Raw genomic sequence first — 15,004 nt, forward strand, 5'->3', positions numbered from 1 at the left:
AAGTCAGGAATTTCTTCTTGGTTTGGATCCATTGTTGGTGAACTAGTGTGATTTTTGGGGGGTGTTTTTGAGCCTTGTTTTGTCATATTACCAGGGATGCTTTTCTGGTTCCTTCCCATTTGGGTAGGTTCTGTCAAAGGGAAGATCTAGGGCTGAAGGCTGCTGTTCAGGTTTTTTTTTTTTTTTTGTCCCACAGGGTGTTCCCTTGATGTAGTACTTGCCCCCTTTTCCTGTGGTTGTGGCTTCCTGTGAGCTGAACTGCAGTGATTGTTGTCTCTCTTCTGGATTTAGCCACCCAGTGAGTCTACCCAGCTCCTGGCTGGTGCTGGGGGTTTCTACACAAAGTCCTGTGATGTGAACCATGTATGGGTCTCTCAGTCATGGATACCAGTGCCTGTTCTGGTGGAGGTGGCAGAGGGTGCAATGGACTCCATGAGGGTTTTTAGCTTTGGTGGTTTGATGCTCTATTTTTGTGCTGATTGACCTCCTGCCAGGAGGTGGCACTTTCCAGAAAGCATCAACTGTAGTAGTGTGGAGAGAGACTGGCAGTGGGTGGGGCCCTAGATCTCCCAAGATTGTATGTCCTTTGTCTTCCACTAGCAGGGTGGGTAGGGAAAGACCATCAGGTGGGGATGGGGTTACGTGTGTCTGAGCTCAGACTCTCTTTGGGTGGGTTTTGCTGCAGCTGCTGTTGGGGATGGGGTGAGATTCCCAGGTCACTGTAGTTGTGTACCTAGGAGGATTATGAATGCCTCTGCTGAGTCATGCAGGTTGTCAGGGAAATGGGGAAAAGCCAGCAATCATAGGCCTTACCCAGCTCCCACACAAACTGAAGGGCTGGTCTTACTAACACCATGTCACCCACAACAGCCCTGAGTCTGTTTCCAGGTGGAGGTTGGGCTTGAAAACTTGCCGGAGGCTTTCTGCCCCCAGCTGTGAAAGAAAAGGACTTTAGTTCTTACCCCGCCTGTGAAGTCTGCAAGCAGAATTCGCACCCTTTCCCAAGGTCTGGCCAGGAGGCTTCTCGCCCCACTCCAATTGTTACAAAGTTGAGCTAAGGAAGTCCTTCTCACTGGTGAGGTTTTATTGCCTGCTCCTCTGGCCTCCCTCCTGATGGATCCCTGTGATGCCAAGCAATAATGTGCTGCCTGGATTCAGTGAGCTCCCAGGGACTCACTGCTGCCTCCTCCACCCCTGTATTTCGCTAGGCTGGGCTCTCTAACTTGACTCAGCTCCAGGTAACGTCAAGAACTTCTCCAAACAGAACTTCAGCTTCTCTAGTGGGGGTGTGTGTTCAAAAAACGGGGGTCTCCCATTCCCACTTCCACAGCTGGGGCACTATCAGTATTTGAGATGTCTCCTGGGTCCTGCAGGAGCAGTCTGCTGCCTTCAGAGGGTCTGTGGTTACTCTCAGGATTGCTGGTTTGTTCTTGCAGTCGATCTGGAGCTAAAATTCACAGTGCAAGCCTTTGCAATGCTGCTCTATCTGGAGCTGCAATCTAGTCCTACCTCCTGTCTGCCATTATCTGCAGAAGCTCCAGGACTACATTACAATGTGACATTTGGAGGGGACAAATATCCGAATGATAAAAACCATTTTTTTAACTTTTGTTGATTTAACGTCTGTTTTATCAAATATAAGCATAGCTACTTCTTCTTGCTTTTTGTTTCTATTTGTGTGGAATATATTTTTGACCCTTTAAATTTGTGTCTGCAGTGTCTTTACCAGTTAGCTGAGTTTTTTATAAGCAGTATATACTTGGATTCTGTTTTTTTGTTTTTTTTTTAAATCCATTTCATCAATCTGTGCTTTTCAGTGGAGCATTTAACACACTTACATTCAAAGTTAATATTGAAATGTGAGGTTTTGTTCCTGTCTTAATGTTAATTTTTACCTTGTTCCTTTGTAGTCTCAATTGTGTAATTGTTTTATAATATCTGTTAGTTTTAAACTTTTGTATGTTTTGATGATTGTGGGTAGTGACCTTTCACTACAATGTTTAGAAGTCCCTTGAGCATTTCTTGTAAGACTGGTCTAGTTGTAATGAACTCCTTTAGTGTTTGCTTAAGTGGAAAAGGTTTTATTTCTCTTTTATTTATAAAGCTTAGTTTAGCTGAAACAATATTCTTGGCTGAAATTTTTTCTTTTAGAACGCTGGAAGTAGAAACCCAGTCTCTTCTGTTTTTCTTTTAGGTTTTTGCTGAGAAATCCACTGTCAGTCTGATAAGACTTCCTTCATTGGTGATTAGACACTTCTTTCTTGCTGCTTTTGGATTTTTTTTTCCTTCACATTGATTTTGGGTAGAATGAAGGCAATATACCTTGATGAGGTTCTTCTTGCAATATATCTTCCAGGAGTTCAGGTGTTCTCTGAGCTTCTTGCATCTGGAATTCTAAAACTCTGGCAAGACCAGGGAAATTTTCTTGAATTATTTCCTTCAATAGGTTTTTTATACTTTTTATTTTTTTCTCCCTATGGAATACCTGTAAATCATACTTTGGATACTTTGCATAATCCCGTATTTCACAAATGCTTTGTTCATTTTTAAAAATTGTTTTTCTTTATTTTTATCTGACTGGGTTAATTCAAAACACCTGTCTTCCAGCTCTGAAATTCCTTCATCTGTTTAGTCTAGCATATTTTTAAAGCTTTAACATGTGTTTTATAATTTCTTCAAAATTTTTTTGTTTCTATAAATTCTGTTTTCATTTAAAAATATTTATGTCTTCTTTCATATTCTGAATTGTTATTCTGATTTCTTTGTGTTGGTTTTTAACTTTCTCTTGGATCTCACTGAGTTTCCTTCCAATCCATATTTTGAATTCTTTATCTCTTATTTCAGAATTCTCATTTTGATTAGATCTATTGCTAGAGAGGTGGTGATGCTTTGTGGGGATCATAACACTATGTTTTTTCATACTGCCAGAGTTCTTACACTGGTTCCTTCTCACTGTAAAAGCTGTCTCTTCTTATTTTTTAATTTACTTTCATTTCCCTGGAATATGTGACTATAATGTTTGTTGTGCATGGTCATTTGGCTTCACTCATTATAGATAGGTGTTGTGGAGTGGCTTTCTCAAATGTTTCATGTACTAGTGATTTACTGGGCATATGAGCAGGCACGCTGACTTCTGAAGTACCAGGATTGTGGAGGTCTCAGAAAGCTTCTTTCTTTCCTTAGTACTGTGTGCTTGTGTCAGCAGGTTTTGTATTGGGTTGTGCAGTTTAATTTGTAGGCCAGTAGGTGGCGCCCATGGTAAACGCCACCTGCAGCTGAAACAGATGGGTATGTGTTTGATCTTTGTTTATTGGGAGGTGCGCTGTTGTTTCAGGTGATGGGTGCTGGGCGGGTCTGTGGAATGCTCTGGTGCCCTGAGTTCTTGTCCCCTCACACCTCAGGATGGGCTTGAGAGACAAAGATAGAGCTGGACTACCATGCTTGCCCACAAATACGCCAATGACAAGCAGCGTAGGCACCAACCCTGATGGGGGTGGCAGTGGAAGTTCTTTTTGAAATGTACCAAGGTCTCCACACAGTGGGAGGGTGGGCACCAGCTTAACATCCAAGGGAAGAAGGGATAAGATCTGTTTTTCTATCCTACCTCTGTCCCAGGAATCATGACTCTTAATTCAGTCAGACACTGTAGTCTATCTCTAGGCCACAATGCAGCTAATAGCCACAGAAAATGATTGTCTCACAGTTCTTCATGGAAATGGCTTCAGGGAGAATCCTCTTTCCTAAGCATAATACAAATATCTTTGTGGGTCACCTTTTCTCCAATGCAGGAACACTGCTGCTTTGTGTAGAGACAGAAAAAGGCTGTACATTTTGGCACATGCGGGTTGGTGCCAGCTGTGATGGTGTTGGCTGTTTGGGTCAGTCTGACCTCAGATGTTTGGGGGAGTGATCAGGTGCCAGTGGTGATAAAGTGGTCTAGGCAATCCCTCAGTCTCCAGGCCCCCAAATAGTATGTTCTGTCCCAGAGGGACTAGATCAGGGACTGGACTAGTAGACTTTTCTTCACGTGCTGATTGTAATAGGGACAGGTGGACTGGTTGCCAAGATACCAGTAGAATGCTCAGGCAGGAGAAGAGTAGCTGCACTGCAGGCTCACCACCAGGGAAGGCAGACCCCTCTCACTCAGAGCTATACAGGCAGGCAGCTGTGCAGAGGCATGACTTGCTCACACCTCTGTCTGGCCGCAGTGGTGACAGTATCTGTCCCTGGTGTGTGTGTGAAGGTGCCTGGTCTCCCCACTCCCCTCCAAGCCCACTGGTGACAGCAGTGGCAGTGTCAGCAGCAGCCCCAGGGCAGAACACAGGCAGATGGGACTGTCAGGGTGGTGCTGGGCAGCAGCTGTTCAGGGCTTAAGAGTTATAGGACTCTAAGTGAATTCAAACAATTACTATGTGCAACTTACAGGCAGCTTCCCATGTTTATCTGGAGGCCTGTGGGAGTCAAAAAGCTCTCCGGTAATTATGATTATAAAACTTCATGGCAAAAGTGTGGAGCACTGAGTGTGAGCACCCCTTCTCAATGTCAGGGAATCTCGCCTGGCTCCATATCAATCCCAGCTCAGCAGTTTGCCTGGTTTTACTCTCCTTTGCTTTCTGTAATTCCCATTGCTTTCCCTGGTGGATTCCAGTGTTCTCTCTTAGATAATCAATTATAAGTGTGAATATTTACTCACTATATTGATTCCTCTCCATGCAAGAGGTGTCCACTAGCTGCATCTAGTCATCTATCTTGAATCAAAGCACTATTGTGATTTTAATTTGCATTTTCCTAATGGCTAATGATGTTGATTCCTTTTTTTCATCCCTTTATCTGTCATCCATATATCTTCTTCAATTGAAATGTTTCTTCATGTCATTTTTCCATTCATTTTTTTTCTGGCTTTTATTATTATTTTTTATTATACTTTAAGTTCTAGGGTACATGTGCACAACATGCAGGTTTGTTACATATGTATACCTGTGCCATGTTGGTGTGCTGTACCCGTTAACTCGTCATTTACATTAGGTATATCTCCTAAAGCTATCCCTCCCCCCTCCTCCCACCCCACAACAGGCCCCAGTGTGTGATGTTCCCCTTCCTGTGTCCAAGTGTTCTCATTGTTCAATTCCCACCTATGAATGAGAACATGCGGTGTTTGGTTTTTTATCCTTGCGATAGTTTGCTGAGAATGATGGTTTCCAGCTTCATCCATGTCCCTACAAAGGACATGAACTCATTCTTTTTTATGGCTGCATAGTATTCCATGGTGTATATGTGCCACATTTTCTTAATCCAGTCTATCATTGATGGACATTTGGGTTGATTCCAAGTCTTTGCTATTGTGCATAGTGTTGCAATAAACATACGTGTGCATGTGTCTTTATAGCAGCATGATTTATAATCCTTTGGGTACATACCCAAATGTCCATCAATGATAGACTGGATTAAGAAAATGTGGCACATATACACCACGGAATACTATGTAGCCATAAAAAAGGATGAGTTCATGTCCTTTGTAGAGACATGGATGAAGCTGGAAACCATCATTCTCAGCAAACTATCGCAAGGACAGAAAACCAAACACTGCATGTTCTCACTAATAGGTGGGAGTTGAACAATGAGAACAATCGGACACAGGGTGGGGAACATCACACACCAGGGCCTGTCGTGGGGTGGGGGGAGGGGGAAGTGGTAGCATTAGGAGATACACCTAATATAAATGACGAGTTAATGTCTTCTTTTGAGAAGTGTCTGTTTATATCCTTCGCCCACTTTTTGATGGGTTTGTTTGTTTTTTTCTTGTAAATTTGTTTGAGTTCATTGTAGATTCTGGATATTAGCCCTTTGTCAGATGAGTAGGTTGCAAAAATTTTCTCCCATTCTGTAGGTTGCCTGTTCACTCTGATGGTAGTTTCTTTTGCTGTGCAGAAGCTCTTTAGTTTAGTTAGATCCCATTTGTCTATTTTGGCTTTTGTTGCCATTGCTTTTGGTGTTTTAGACATGAAGTCCTTGCCCATGCCTATGTCCTGAATGGTATTGCCTAGGTTTTCTTCTAGGGTTTTTATGGTTTTAGGTCTAACATTTAAGTCTTTAATTCATCTTGAATTAATTTTTTTATAAGGTGTAAGGAAGGGATCCAGCTTCAGCTTTCTACATATGGCTAGCCAGTTTTCCCAGCACCATTTATTAAATAGGGAATCCTTTCCCCATTTCTTGTTTTTGTCAGGTTTGTCAAAGATCAGATGGTTGTAGATGTGTGGTATTATTTCTGAGGGCTCTGTTCTGTTCTATTGGTCTATATCTCGGTTTTGTTACTAGTTCCATTCTGTTTTGGTTACTGTAGCCTTGTAGTATAGTTTGAAGTCAGGTAGTGTGATGCCTCTAGCTTTGTTCTGTTGACTTAGGATTGACTTGGCAATGCATTGCCCATCCTTTTATTAGATTGTTTTGGTTAAGTTTTTAGAGATTTTTAGAAAACATATTCTACTTAATAGACCTTTTGTGAAACATGAGGTTTGCAAAATATTAGTTCCCAAAATATAGCTTGTCATTTCATCCTATTATCAGGGTCTTTTGTAGACTAAAGTTTTATTTTTTATTTTGATGAAGTTCAATTTATGTATATTTATTTCTCCTAAGGACAATGCTTTTGGTGAAAAGACTAAGAAACCTTTACTTAGTCTTAGATTCTAAAAATTTTCTATTTGTTTCAAAAAGTTTTATATTTGTATATTTTTATTTAAATCTACTATGAATTTTGATTTAATTTTGTATAATGTGTGAGATGTAGGTGGAGGTTCTTTTTATTTTTTTCTCTTCTTTATTTCTTATTTTTACATATGAGTTTTTTTTGTTTGTTTGTTTTGCCTATACGTGTCTAGTTGTTCTGGCTCCATTTGTTGAAAAGGCTATCATGCCCCCATTGAATTGTTTTTACACCTTTGTCAAAAATCAGTTGAACATGTATGTGTGGTTCTATTTCCAGATTCTCTATTCTATTCCAGTGATCTGTGTGTCTATCCCTCCACCAATACCAACAGTCTTTGGTACTGTAGCTACATAAGTCTTGAAATCAGGTGAGTGGGTCCTTCTTACTTTATTCTTTCTTTTCAAATTGTTCTTGCTATTCTAGTTCCTTTGATTTTCCACATAAATATTAGAATAATTTCATCTATACTATGAAGATTTTGCTGGAATTTTGATAGGCATGTTATTAGACCTGTAAGTAAACTTGGGGCAAATTAACATCTTTATTATTTTAGTTTTTAAATCCATAAACACCATATTTCTCTTAATTTATTTGATCTTTTTATTTCTTTTATTGGTCTTTTGTAGTTTTCAGCATACACACTTGTACATGTTGTTAGATTTCCAACTCAGTATTTCAACTTTTGAGAGATTGTAAGTGGTATTATACTTCTAATTATGATGTCCATATGTTTATTGGTTGTATATAGAATAGAAATGCAATGGATTTTTATATGTTGATCTTGTGTCTGCCATAGTGCTACTCATTTACTAGTTCCAAGAGGAGTATTTTTTTTTTTTGCAGATTCCTTAGGATTTTCCATGAAAACAATAACGTCACCTTCAAATTGACAGTTTTATGTTTTTTCTTGTTTTATTTCACTGATTAAAACTTCCTTCATTATGTTGAATAACAACAGTGAGAGTGAACACATAGAAATCCTTGTCTTGATCCCAATCTTAGGAAGTATGTTATAGTTTTTGTAGATACTCTTTATCAGATGAAGAAAGTTCTCCTCTATTCCTATTTTTCTGATAATTTTATTCATAAAAATGTATTAAATTTTGTCAAATTTTTCTTTGCATCAGTTTATATTATCATGTGATTTTTCTTCTTTTGCTTGTTAAAATGGTGAATTACTTTGATTGATTTTTGAACATTGAACCAGCCTGGCACTCACAAAATAATCCTCACTTGGTCATGCTATGTAATTATTTGTATACATTGCCAAATTTTGTTAATATTTGGTTAAGGAATTTTGCTTCAATCTTCATGTAGTTTTGGTATTTTGGATCTTATTTTCAACTATAAATTTTATAGTTTTCTCTTTTTTTGTATTACCTTTGTCTGCTTTTGGTAGCAAAATAATTCTACCTTCATAAAAGAAAGTGAGTAGTGTTTTTTAAATTATGTGGTTAATTCACTGAATAGTTATAAAACTGTTGAGATTATCTATTACATATTGAGTGGGTTGTGGTAGTTTGTGCTCTTCAAGAACTTCGTCCATTTCATCAAAATTGTCAAGTTTGTGTGTGTAGAGTCGTTTTTAGTAGTCCTTACTATTCCGATGCCTGCAGGGTATGTATTTATATTCCCTCTATCACTGTTAATGTTGATAATTTGTGTTTTCACTTTTTTCTCTTTGGTAGCCTTGCTAGAAGTGAATCAATTTTATTTGTCATTTCAAAAAATATACTATTCTTTTCATTGATTTTATCTATTGTTTCCCTGATCCAATTTTATTGATTTCTACACTTATTTTTATTATTTTTCTGTCTGCTTGGTTTTATCTTATTATGCTCTGCTTTCTACAGGTTATTTGGGTGGAAGCTTATTGATTTGAGACTTCCTCTATTTTAAGGTATGCATTCAATGCTATTCATTCCTCTCTAAATATTGCTTTGTGTCCCACAAATTTTGTGCTACATTTTTTAAAATTAAGTTTACCGAATATTTGTATTACATTTGAGACTTTTGTTGGGCCCATAAACTGCTTAGAAATGTGCTGTTTTCTTTGCAAGTGTTTGTATATTTTTCTGTTATATTGCTCTTGTTGAGTTCTAGTTTGATTTCACTGTGGTCAGAGAACACTCTCTGTATGATTTAATTTTTTAAAATGCGTTGAGTTTGTTTCATAGATCAATATATAATCTATTTTGGTATATGTTCTGTGAACACTTGAAAAGAATGTTGTATAAATGTAGATTAAATCATGTTGGTTGATGGTGTTTGTGAGTTCTTTTATAATGCTGCAAATTTTCTTTTTAGTTGTTTTCTTAATTATTGAGAGATATATGTTGAAATATCCAACTAAAATCATACTGTAATTATGAATTTTTCTATTTCACTATTGAATTCTATTAATTTTTGCTCCACATATTTTTTATCTGTTTTACTAGGTGCGTACACATTTAGGATTGCTATGTCTTCTTGGTGGATTTCTTAATTGTGGTGTAATGTCCTTTCTATTTCTTTGCTCTGGAGTCTATTTTACCTGATATTAATATAGCCATTCCTGCTTTCATTACTTTATAAATAATATATCTTTTTTTCTATCATTTTACTTTCAATCAGTCTACGTTATTCCCATTTGGAATGGCTGTATTTACCCAATGCCTGTACCCCCATTGTATCTAGGAAGTAACTAACTTGCTTTTGATTTTACAGGCTCATAGATGGAAGGGACTTTCTTTGTCTCAGGTGAGACTTTGGACTGTCGACTTTTGAGCTAATGCTGAAATGAGTTAAGACTTTCTGGGACTATTGGGAACTTGTGATTGGTTTTGAAATGTGAGGACATGAGATTTGGGAGGAACCAGAGGTGGAATTATGTGATTTGGCTATGTCCCCACCTAAATCTCATCTCGAATTGTAACTCCCACAATTCCCATGTTCCATGGGAGGAACCCAGTTGGAGGTAATTGAATCATGGGGGCGGTTCTTTCCTATGCTACTCTCCTGATAGTGCATAAGTCTCACGAGATCTGATGGTTTTAAAAATGGGAGTTTCCCTGCACAAGCTTCTCTCTTTGCCTACTGCCATCCATGTAAGATGTGAGTTGCTTCTCCTTGCCTTCTGCCACCCCAGCCACATGGAACTGTAAGTCCATTAAAGCTTTTTTTTTTTTTTTTTTTTTTTTTTTTTGTAAATTGCCCAGTCGAGTGTGTCCTTATCAGCAGCATGAAAATGGACTAATACAATGACTTAACAAACTATCTTGGTTGGGTTACTAATTCATGGTGTTTGTCAAATACAAATAATCAAAGTAAGGTGAAACTTTTAAAGCTGCTATATTATCAGAGAATTCTCAAACTTTGTAAGTAACCTGTACTTATTCAATCCCTAAACCAGTAGATTTCAGATTTGAGCATGCATCAAAATTACCTTGTTAAACTACGGATCCCTATATACCAGAGTTTCTGATTCAATAGATCTGAAGTAGGCTCAAGAATCTGCATTTCTAACAAGTTCCCAGATGATACTGGTGCTGCTTGTCCAGGGGCTACACTTCGAGAACCACTGGCCTAAGTCAATCTCTAGTTCCTAGAGGCACCGAGAGAAAGCAGGCTGCTAATGAGAGCAGCTTTATTAAGATAATCCAAATGCCTATCTCAGATGTGGCCATGGAGGACAATGAACATACTCCAAGGTAGCAAAACCAGAGGCTCACAGGTTGGGTGACTGAGGGTCTCATTCCTATTGCTAGGGCAATACATCCTATTCCAGTCCAGAAGTGTGTCATGTTTTATGGACTGAGGACCATAGAGTGTTATTTCCCATTGTCTCATAATCCAAATGAGAAATTTTATTGCAATAATTTTGTTCTCTCTCCACCGCTGCACGTTGAGGTAGTTAAAATTTCGCTACTTTTTTATGAGGCATAGACAAGTTGATTGTAAAGTTCATATAGAAAAATAAACACAGAAGAATGGCTAGGAAAACACTGAAAAGGAAGGTCTTGAGGCAGGAGAGAACTAGCCCTGTCAGATATTTAAACAGTCTACCAGAAAGCCTCCATAAGTCAAACAGTATAGCATTGGAACATTGTACAGATAAATCAATGCGATAGAATAATAAGTTCAAGGGGAAAAAAAGCCAGCTACATATAAAAGTGTAGTGTATGAGAAGGGTAGTATTTCTCAAATCACTTTGACAAAGTTAGTGTTTTTACAACTGGTGCTGGAAAAACTAGATAGCCATTTGGAAAAGGATACAATTAGATACATTCTTAACACCACACAGGAATAAAACCAAAATAGATGATACAGCTAAATAAAAAGTATAAAACTATACAAATATTAGAAGAAAGCATATTATTCTACAATTTACATATTGAGAAAAGCTTTCTAACTATGATTAAAAATCTGGATAGAATAAAATAAAAATATAATTTTGATTACATAAAACAAGTTTGAAAAATTTGCATATAAGTACCATAAGTAAAGTAAAAAACAAATGACAATCTGGGAGAACAAATTTGCAACATATATCAGAGATAAATGGTTAACAGCCCTAATTTACAGAAAAGACTTTTGAGAGTTGAGGAACAGAGACCAAAATCTTTTTTTAATTTATACTTTAAGTTCTGGGTTACATGTGCAGAACGTGCAGTTTTGTTACATAGGGATACACGTGCCACGGTGATTCGCTGCACCCACCAACCCATCACCTGCATTAGGTATTTCTCCTAATGTTATCGCTACCCTAGCCCCCCAACCCCCCAACAGGCTCCCTGTGTCCATGTGTTCTCACTGTTCAACTCCCACTCAGGAGTGAGAACATGTGGTGTTTGGTTTTCTGATCCTGGATAGTTTGCTGAGAATGATGGTTTCCAGCTTCATCCATGTCCCTGCAAAGGACATGAACTCATCCCCTCTCATGGCTGCATAGTATTCCACGGTGTACATGAGCCACACCCTCTTAATCCATTCTATCATTGATGGACATTTGGGCTGGCTCCAACTCCTTGCTATTGTGAACAGTGCCACATCTTATAGACACAAAAATATGAAAATATATTCAACCTCACTCATAATAAGAAAAATACAAACTAAAACTACAATGAGGTTCCATTTCTTACTCCGCAACTTGGCAAAAATATCAAAGCCTGTCAATGCGCTCTGTTGGTGAGCCTAGGGAAAATCAGGTGCTCTCACATACTGCTGGAAAAAATACAAAATGGCATAATACCTATGGAGGGGATTTTGGCAATAGCTAACAAAATTACATATGTACTTATCCTCCAATAGAGCAATCTCAATTTCAGAAATTTCTCAAAATGATACATCAGCAGTATGAAAATGTATACACATAAGGTTATTATTTATTGCAGCATTATTTGTCATTGTGAAATATTGGAAATTACCTGTCAAAGCACAGGAGTTTGGTTGGATAAACTATAGCACATATACACAATGAAGTACTATGCAGCTGTAAAAATGTATAAGGAAGCATACATATACATCTGCTTATCTTTGGATTAACACATAAAGCATGAACCCCAAAACAATGAAGTTGGTTACCTACAAGGAGTGTGGGAAAATGGGGTGGGGAAGATAAAAGAAGAAAGTGACAGTTCTCTGAGTATACCTTTCTGTATGGTTTTTACTTTTGAAAACATGTTAATATGTTGTCCATATTCAAAAAACAAATCAGTAAGAATAGAAAAGTGGGGCTAAAACTGAAATCAAATGTAAACAAATAAACCCAACTAAATTTCAAATGGAAAACACAATGATACTGAAGAGAAACTACAACAACAAAAACTTATCTATAAGTAAGTCAGCCATCATCCCTCCCTGAGGGAACTGTAAATCACCTAGTTCTTTGTTCTGAAGTTACATTACAAAAATGGATAATTCAGGTATTCTTTTCAGGCAATGGTGGTATATGCATTATACGTAGGCGTAGGCATTTAAAAATTGTACATATGAGAAGGATGCCGAGTAGCCAAAAGGAGAATCGGAAATGTAGTTTGCTATCCACCATCTATTTGCCCTTATTCTGGTTACAATGCATTACTTTCTTTCAGAGGGATCACCCCTTTTCCCACTTTCAGTTCAATTATTTCTTATGGAGTTTACTCGACCCCGAGGAGCTACACATGAGAGAGGAGGTAAAGTTTTGACCTGCTATTGCCATCTTGCCATTGTAATGCCTGAGAATGGGCCAGCATTGAAAACAGATCTGAGAGATGGAGAAAAAAATGTCCCCATGACTTTGACTAAGATATGAATCCCCTATGCTTTTTAAACCAGTTTATCTATGGAACTAGTACTTGCAACCAAAAAATGTACTAATGGATTTGCTGCAAAATCATAGTTAAAGACATTATTCCAGTTCCATGCCCCTTGTAATAAGGTTCTTCTTTGTTAAATGCTTTAAAAATCTTAGGAAGCAAAAAGTATCTGTTGAAGAATTAGCATTCTTCCTCTCACATAATTATGTAACCTGCTAAATTTCTCTTCTTGCCTTTCCTGTCAGGAAGCTCAGAGTTAAATTAATGTTCAAGTAAATTCCTTATTATCCCTGGCTCTTGGCGTACTTTTTTTTCCTTTAATTTTCATGATTTTGTGTTTCACTTTAGCATCCTTATTGTATATATGACTGTTACCATAAACAACCTTGAATCTCTTTTAGAAAGAGAATAAAATCAGTGTCTGGCACAGAAACAGAATACACATTTGTTCAGTAAAAAAAAAAAATGCATCTATTAACAAAGTATTTCTGTCAGAAACGGAACGATCAGAGATGTTACATATGGTGGTGTACTTTACAACACTTCCTTTAAAAAAAAAAACAAAAAAGTGTAGAACACTGTACCTACATTCAGAAAATATACCAAATGTATCTGAGAGTCTTAAAGCAAAAGGAAAGAAAAAGGCAAAACCTGGGTTCTAACCTATGCTTAGGCATGGAGGTGGGGCAGAGGGATGAGGAAATAACAGACCTAGAAATAGGTTGCTTTGTGCTTGGGTAGAGTAGGTTCTAGGTTCTAGAAGAAGCCAATAGTAAAAGAATGTAAACTCTATCTTCAGAAATATGTCCCCAGCAGTTTCAATCTGTTTGTTTGTTCAAGAGGACACATGGGGACTCATGGGAGAAGCAAATTGTGGTCTGATACTTCTATCTCTCACTTTGAGGTACATCGAGGGTACCTCGAAGTTAACCATCCTGGCTAACATGGTGAAACCCCATCTCCATTAAAAAATACAAAAAAAAAAAAAATTAGCTCGGCGTGGTGGCGGGCGCCTGTAGTCCCAGCTACTCGGGAGGCTGAGGCAGGAGAATGGCGTGAATCTGGGAAGTGGAGCTTGCAGTGAGCCGAGATCGCGCCACTGCACTCCAGCTTGGGCGACAGAGCGAGACTTCGTCTCAAAAAAAAAAAAAAAGAAAAAAAAAAAAAAGAAAAGTGTATCATGTTTAGTTTGGTAAGCCTAAATTATTTAAGGGTCTCACTGACCAAAAAAATGCATTACCTATTTTGGTAGCTAATGCTTAAAATACAACTGCAGAATGTAGTAATACTTTCATAAGAATAAGGTTTTTAAAGTATTATGTATAAATGGTGATCAGATATTTTATTAAGGGGCTGGGAGATGGAAGACATGAAAGCAAAAGCAGAAAAGAGATTAAAAAGAGGTGGCCAATATGCAAGCAATTTTTGCGCACTTACCAAAGTTGGCCTAGTGTCAGTCCTGTTTACCTTTAAGAAGTTGATTGAGAGAAACAGAGGAGGTACATGGTGCTTTTGATTACCGGGCTCCAAATGCATTTTTGACCCGCATATGAAATAAAATTTCTGTGTATATGTACAGCTGTTATAAATTAACACGGCATACACGTGTGACTTTTTTCATAAATTTCTGTTACTCTACTTGATTCTGAGCTTTAAAAAATGTTGCCAATCTTTAGAGATTAAAATTTTAATTTTTTTTGCTGTAGAAAAGGTTGTCACCTTATCTAACTTGCAAACAAATGCATTTTCCTGATAAATCCTAAAAATACTGTAAGCTTTAATGTTCATTTTATTGAATTTCCTTGCCTTATGAGAATATTAGAAAAGTTGGAAAAATACCAGAGTTTAGGACATATCAGGGTATATGCATGAAAAAGCAATATCCTGAAACACCTGTTACACCTGGCCCCTGAACAAGGTGTATCATTGCCAATGAATTCTGCAATTAGCTGGATGTGTTTAATAAAAGCAGACACAAAATTTTATATCCAAAAATGATCAAGCGAGGTCAACGGTA

The 15,004-nt window shown here is 37.7% G+C and overlaps 2 annotated features.

Annotated features, from left to right (window-relative positions):
• Window positions 631-1,131: an enhancer, noted in NCBI's record as "H3K27ac hESC enhancer chrX:83298980-83299480 (GRCh37/hg19 assembly coordinates)". NCBI's record gives its function as "activates a minimal SCP1, AML or CMV promoter by ChIP-STARR-seq in naive H9 embryonic stem cells {active_cell/tissue: H9 hESC(naive)}" and the evidence as "EXISTENCE:reporter gene assay evidence [ECO:0000049][PMID:30033119]".
• Window positions 3,042-3,608: an enhancer, noted in NCBI's record as "OCT4-NANOG hESC enhancer chrX:83301391-83301957 (GRCh37/hg19 assembly coordinates)". NCBI's record gives its function as "activates a minimal SCP1, AML or CMV promoter by ChIP-STARR-seq in naive H9 embryonic stem cells {active_cell/tissue: H9 hESC(naive)}" and the evidence as "EXISTENCE:reporter gene assay evidence [ECO:0000049][PMID:30033119]".

The sequence above is a fragment of the Homo sapiens genome, chromosome X (genome assembly GCF_000001405.40).
Source record: "Homo sapiens chromosome X, GRCh38.p14 Primary Assembly".
NCBI classification, from domain to species: domain Eukaryota; kingdom Metazoa; phylum Chordata; class Mammalia; order Primates; family Hominidae; genus Homo; species Homo sapiens.